At 43.7% G+C, this 6970-nt stretch overlaps 1 pseudogene; it reads right to left on the bottom strand.

The window, feature by feature from the left end:
- Positions 5497–6661, bottom strand: OR4N1P (olfactory receptor family 4 subfamily N member 1 pseudogene; annotated as a pseudogene).

The following is a 6970-nucleotide window of genomic DNA, read 5'->3' as shown; positions in this document are numbered from 1 at the left end:
GGATCACCTGAGGTCAGGAGTTTGAGACCAGCTTGGCCAACATGGCGAAACCCCGTCTCTACTAAAAATACAAAAATTAGCCAGGCATGGTGGCAGGTGCCTGTAATCCCAGCTACTGGGGAGGCTGAGGCAGGAGAATCTCTTGAACCTAGGAGGTGGAGGTTGCAGTGAGCCGAGATCACACCACTGCACTCCAGCCTGGGTGACAAGAGTGAAACTCCATCTCAAAAAAAATAAAATAAAATAAGACATACACTTTGCCAAGAAGCATATGAAAAAAATGCTAAACATCACTAATCATTAGAGAAATGCACATCAAAACCACAATGAGATACCATCTCACACCAGTCAGATGGGCTATTGTTAAAAAGTCAAAAAATAATAGATCATGCTGGCGAGGTTGCAGAGAAAAGGGAATGCTTATGCATTGCTGGTGGGAATAAAAATTGGTTCAGCCATTATGGAAAGCAGTGTGGCGATTTCACAAAGTACTTAAAACCAAAGTAGCATTCAACCCAGCAATCCCATTATTGGGTATATACCCAAAGGAATATAAATCATTGTGCCATAAAAACATATGCACAAGTATGTTCATCACAGGCATATTCACAATAGCAATGTCATGGAATCAACGTAGATGCCCATCAATGGTGAACTTGATAAAGAAAATGTGGTACAAGTATACTATGGAATACTATGCAGTCATAAAAAAGAATGAGATCATATCTTTTGCAGCAACATGCATGGAGCTGGAGGCTATTTTCCTGAGTGAACTAACATAGGAACAAATAACTAAATACTACATGTTCTTACTTATAAATTGGAGATAAACGTTGAATACACATAAACACAAAGAAGGGAACAACAAATACTTGGGCATAGTTGAGATTGGATGGTGGCAAAAGGGTGAGGGTCAGAAAACTGACTATCAGGTACTATGCTTATTACCTGGGTGATAAATCTGTTCACCAAACCCCTGTGACAAGCAATTTTACCTATATAACAAATCTGCACATGTATAACTGAACCTAAAAGTTAAAAAATTAAAATTAAAAAAGTAAAAGTTATCCCAAAACAAGCAGACAAATAAGGAAAGCAAATAAAAAAAATATTATCATTGCTTGGGGTCTGGTGGACTCATTTGGAGGTATGGGGAAACTGGCTTTTTGAATTGTCAGAGTTCTTGCACTGGTTCTTTCTCATCTGGAAGCATTGGCGTTCCTTTACCTGTGGTGTAACTTGAGTATAGTCACTTGGCTTTGTTTCTGAATGTTTTCAGATAGCCAAGGCTTTGTGCAGGGTCTTTATTTGTGGCTGGATTCTTGCCTTTGATTTCACTGGGGGATATTAGCAAAATATTTTTGGTGTTGTAGCAGTTTTGGCTGCAATCCAGTAGACGTCGCTTAAGAGTAATGGACAGTAGATAGGCTCTTGCTCAGGCCTGTGGTTCCCTTGTACTTCCTCACATCTACAGCCTGGTCTCCAGTACAGCGGGGAAAGAAGTGACCCCCTCACCAGGTCCGCTCCTGAGCCTTGGGGGAAGCCCCTCCGGTCACTAGCACTGCACCATCATTTCTTTTGCTAGGTGTTCCAGGCTGCGGGGCTCCCTCAGGCAGAGGCCACCGCAGGGAGATAGGCCATACGTTTTCCAGGCGTACCCTGCTCCCACAGCAGCCGAGGAACCCACGCGGTTACCCCTCTCAGTGCTCTGAGAGTGTGGGTTTCTCTTCCCGCTCTAGTGTGGGACCTGGGGCGAGCTCGGGCTTTTTATTCCCTCCCCAGCTTGGGGGAGCAGGGGACGGGACCTTGGCGGTGTCAGTGGCAGAGGGCTTGTCATTTGTCTCTGGGAACTCCACCCCAGAGAAATTCAGAGCCGCTGCCAATCAGAATGACCAGCCCGGGATGGGACGTTTGTGCTGTGGGCCCAAGCCCAGGGCCCTCCCTAGTGAAGAGCAGAGGGATCGGGGGCTTGTTGCAGGGACTGTCTGGCCTCCTCTCCATAGAGCAGCTGTGGCATGCTGGATGTGCAAGCACAGCAAGCAGGCTCTTTGTTCCCTCCCTAGCCTGGGGGGTGGCAGCAGTGGCAGATGGCCTGTCAGCTGCCTCTAGCAACTCCACCCAGAGCTACTGCTACTGCCAAGGGGAAGGATCCAGGGGTGGGGAGGCTGTGCTGTGGGCCCAAGCCGGGCCATGTCTGGTGAAGAGTAGCGGGGGTCAGGGTCTCGCAAGGAAGACAATCTGGCCTTCTCTCCCTAGGACAGCTGCAGTCAGGCTCTTTGTTCCCTACCTAGCCTGCGGGGAGCAAGGAAGGGCCTTACACTCAGCTGGTGATGGCACAGAGCCTGCCGGTTGTCTCTGGGAGCTCTATCCCAGAGAAACTCAGGGCCACTGCCAAATGAAAGATCAAGTGGGGGTGGGGCGGTTGTGCTGGGACCCCAGGCCGGGAGGCCCTGTCCAGTGAGGAGTAGCTGGGACAGGGACCCACGTGGAAAATAATCTGGCCGCTTTTCTGTATGACAGCTCTTCGTATGACAGCTGCCTTGCTGAAGGTCTAGGACAGTTCCTGTGCTCTTCGATCCCTCCCCAGCCTGAGGGCAGCATGTGGGAGACCACAGTACCAGAAATCTCAGGCCTATTGGTTACCTCTGGGAGTTCCTTCCCAAAGAAATGGAGAGCCCTGACTGGCCTGAGTGTTCAGGTGAGAGTGGGGTGGCTGCGTGGGCAACCCAGGCTAGTGGGTTTTGCCTGGTTTGCTAAAGCAAGCGGGGCCTGCAGTCAGTCTGCTCCTCAGCACCGTGGATGCAGCCCCTATTCTAGAGGCATGCAAGAGAGCTGGCCTCCCTTGTTGGTGGGGCTATGGCAGCTGGCACCAAGGTGCTCAGGGCCCCAAAGCTCATGGGGCTCCAGGTGAGCCTAGCTGCAGCTCTGTCCAGACTCAAGTAATCTCTCTGTGTTGGTCTGGAGGCCCCCCGGGGTCACGGGAGATCTCCTGTGCCAGGATTGCAAAGGCCCATGGCAGAAGTGTGGGTCCCAGGAGGTTCTTATTCACCCTTTCCCTATGGTAGGGAGCCTCACCTGGCTCTATGCCAATCCTGGGTGGACTGCTTTCCTGCCTGGCCCCTTTCTGCTGTCCATCGATTGCAGTTGCTTCCTTGATGAATCCTAACATGGCCTCATGGATGAGCCACTTGAAGAGCTAGTGTTTACTCACCACCCTGTCTCCCTCTCCATGAGTGGCACATGATAGCTGCTTCTGGCACCTCTCCCTATTCTGTACTTCTTTATTGATAATACATGAGCAACGTTATCCTACATGCTAATCAAAATCAGTGGTTTTCATTTCTGTGGTTGATTTTTAAGGGTAAGCTTACTTTCATGCTTATAAGCCTTTTCATTTTTTCCTTTGTTCATTGCCCACATTTCCTTCTATGTACCTATTTCATATTCATTTAAGCAAATTCTTTATGTATTAGATAAATTTTTATTATTTATATCAATTTTTAGTAATTTTTATTTTAATTTTTATGCATGGTTGTCCTCTTATACAGTCTTGGAGTAGGGAGAAAATATTCAATTTACATGCAAACCTTATAATCGTGCAGAAAATAATCTCCACATCTATATGCCATAGAAATATTTTCAGCATTTTTCTGCCTTTTGCCCATATAAACTTTTTTCATTTTTACATATCAAAATATGTAGAAGACATCAAGATTTAATGTATCTTTTTATTTTCATTTTCTTTGTCAAACTTCAATGGCCTTTCTCACCTCCAAGATTGCAAACTTTTTATCCTATATTTTACCACCATTTTTGTTTGTTTTCTGAAGAAGCTGTCAACATATAGACAGGTTTGTCAAAGACTTTTGCCACTAGCATTACAGATTCTATCAAATATACTCATACAAAATTTAATTTAGAAAAAATAATTAGAGAGACAATAACATGAGAGGTGCTCTCTACAATTCAGTTCATGCCAGACCGTGGCTGATTGATGTGTTCCTTGAGCCAGGAGCTGGGAAAGTGGCTTCTTGTCCTCTCGGCCTCCTGGTTATTGCAGGGATAGGTCACCTAGCAGGTTAGTTCTACAGTGTTTTTCTGGCAACAACTTCTGTAATAGATGCCCAGCATAAATAATGGTCTTCTATACTTGAAAAATTTTATAAGTACCTAATTTCTCACATTAGACCCCACTATTAATACAGGAGTTATTAAGAAATTATTTTTAGGCAGCTAGAAAGGGTAAAAGAGTCCTCGCAAAGGCTTTTCCTTTTAATAAAAAAGCAGCCCCCAAACTACTTCTTTTCTAACAGAAAGCAGCCTGAAAAGCCATGCTGGAAGCCTAGGTATGTAAATTACAGGCTTGCAGAAGTAAATGCAGGTGGCTAAGAGACAGGTCCACTCAATATGACTGTTCCCACTCACTTTACTTTGTTGCCACATGTGCTGGTGTCATGGCACCAGCCAAGTAAAGCACATGTGCAGGCATCATGGCGACAGCCAGGTAGAAGCCGCATTTGCAGAATAAAAGATTAGGGTGGGAGGTCCAGTCTTTTCATGGGTTGTGTGAATGACACACCTGGTCAAACGAATCCCCTGGGCCCTATGCAAATCAGACACTACCTCCTTGAGCCTCCCAATGTAACTGACTGCTTTCCCCGCAAGTGGGGTTATTCCATTCAGAGCCCGCCTCCCTCTGTATGGGGGAGCTCTTCTCTTCCTTCTTGCCCAATAAACTTTCTGCTCCTTAAACCGCTCCATGTGTGAGTCCGTGTCATTAATCTGCACAGCATGAGACAATGAACTGCAGGTATTTCCCCAGACAACGAAGCTGCTTCACTATGTTGAAAATAACTGGAGTGATTTATGTAATCTATAATATAATATGTAGTACTAAATATCTGATAATGTCTAATAATCATCGTGAAGCTCTGAAGAAAAAATAAGTGAAATAATTTCATGACATTTTACCATGAAACAAATTGGCTTCCTTTCTTATCTCTCTACCAAATTTGGGGGGGAAATATATATTTATTTATATATTGATTAAATGTATAAAAATATATATTTATAAATATATAAAAATATTTTACTTATTTTATATGTATATGTAAATATACATATTTATAAAATATATATAAAAACATTAAAATATATATAATTTTTAATATATTTATGTATAAAAGACTATATATAGTCTTTTTCAGAACATACTTGCCACATACATTTGGTTTTTGATATTTTACAGCTTATTAATCTCTGCCTAAAATCTTGCTGATGTTGCTCTAACCAATAGAGGAAAGCATTGTAGATGACTGCTCCTTTGCTTAAAACATTAAAATGGATTCTTACCACAATTAAGATTTGAAAAAATTCTTACCTCAGACTAAAAGACCCTTGCAGTCACATAAAACTTAACTCCTAAATTTCTTAACACTTACTCATTATACTTCAACCACTCTGGGGTTTCCTTTATATTCGTTAAATAAAATAAGTTTATTCTCTCATTATGCATAACTCTCCCCCATTGCCTACAGTGGTACCTGGCAAATGGGAGGTACTCAGTGAAAAACAGGACTTGTTAAATGAATGATATGAATTCCAGCCAGAATTCCTCCTTCTCAGTTTCTTATTATAAAGTCCACTTGACAGACTACATGTCGACTCAATAACCTCTTCATGGAAGTTTTCACTTCCTGGTTTCGAAGGGTATAAATCATAGGATTCATCAATGGAAAGATCACTGTGTGAAAGAAAGAAACCACCTTGTCAGCTGGTAAGGCCCTGAAGGGGTGCATGTAGATGAAGATAGCAGGTCCAAACATAAGAAGTATAATAATGACATGAGTGGTGCACGTGGACATGGCCTTGTTCTTCAATTCAGAAGCTGCCTTACGAACATGGCACAGGATGACTGCATAGGAAGCCAGAAGCCCCAGAAAGACAGGAGTGTCATCAGGCCACTGTTGAAGACCATCAGAAGCTCCACCACAAACGTGTCGGTGCAAGCCAGCTTGATGACCTGTGGGACATCACAGAAGAAGTTGTCCAGCTGGTTTGGGCCACAAAAAGGCAAGCGGAGGATGAGGACCACCTGGATAATGGAGTGGACAAAACCCCCAAGCCACAGAGCCAACATCATTGCATAGCAAGCTCTGGGGTTCATGAGAGTAGAATAGTGCAGAGGCCGGCAGATGGCGATGTAGCGGTCAAAGGCTACATCACAAGGAGTAATCCCTCTCCTCCTCCAAGGAAGTGCAAGAAAAAGAGCTGAGTGATGCAGCCTCTGTAGGAGATTACATTCTTCGCAGAGAGGAAGTCCACCAACATCCGGGGAGCCACAATGAAGGAGTAGGATGCATCCAGGAAGGCCAAGTTGCCCAGAAAGAAATAGAGGGGTGCTGTGAGCCCAGGATCTGACTTTATGGTGAAAATGATGAGGAAATTTCCAGGGAGGATGATAAGGTAGAAAATTAAGATCAGCACAAAGACCAAGAGCTGAATATCTTGAGACTGAGTCAGACCAAGGAGGATAAATTCTGTCACTACTGTGTTGTTTGCTATCTTTATTTCTTCTGCCTGTAGAATATCAATAAAAGAGTTTATTTTCAGGTGTTACATCTAGATTATAGTTCTTGAACTAAACACAAGGTATGCCACATTTATATTACTCTATCTATCTCAACAACCTGAGAAATCACTATTGTTTATGCTTCCTCATTTCATGATGGCCAACACCCGGGTCCTGAAGCCACACTCTTCCTTCTGTTTCAGTCCTGTGCTTCTGTTTAAGTGTTCACTCATGCAAGATTTGGGTGCTACTGCTCTGAATTTGTTCCTGATTTTTATGAGGCACATGAAAGTTTTTCTGACTGAGAAAAAACTTAACCCCAGTAATTGAGGTCTTCATGTTTTGCTTTGAATGGAAGATGAGCTGGGATTGACAGCAAAGAAGAATGACAGAGCTTTT

Source organism: Homo sapiens, chromosome 14 (genome assembly GCF_000001405.40).
Source record: "Homo sapiens chromosome 14, GRCh38.p14 Primary Assembly".
In the NCBI taxonomy this organism is placed as follows: Eukaryota; Metazoa; Chordata; class Mammalia; order Primates; family Hominidae; genus Homo; species Homo sapiens.
This window is presented reverse-complemented; position numbering and strand designations above follow the sequence as displayed.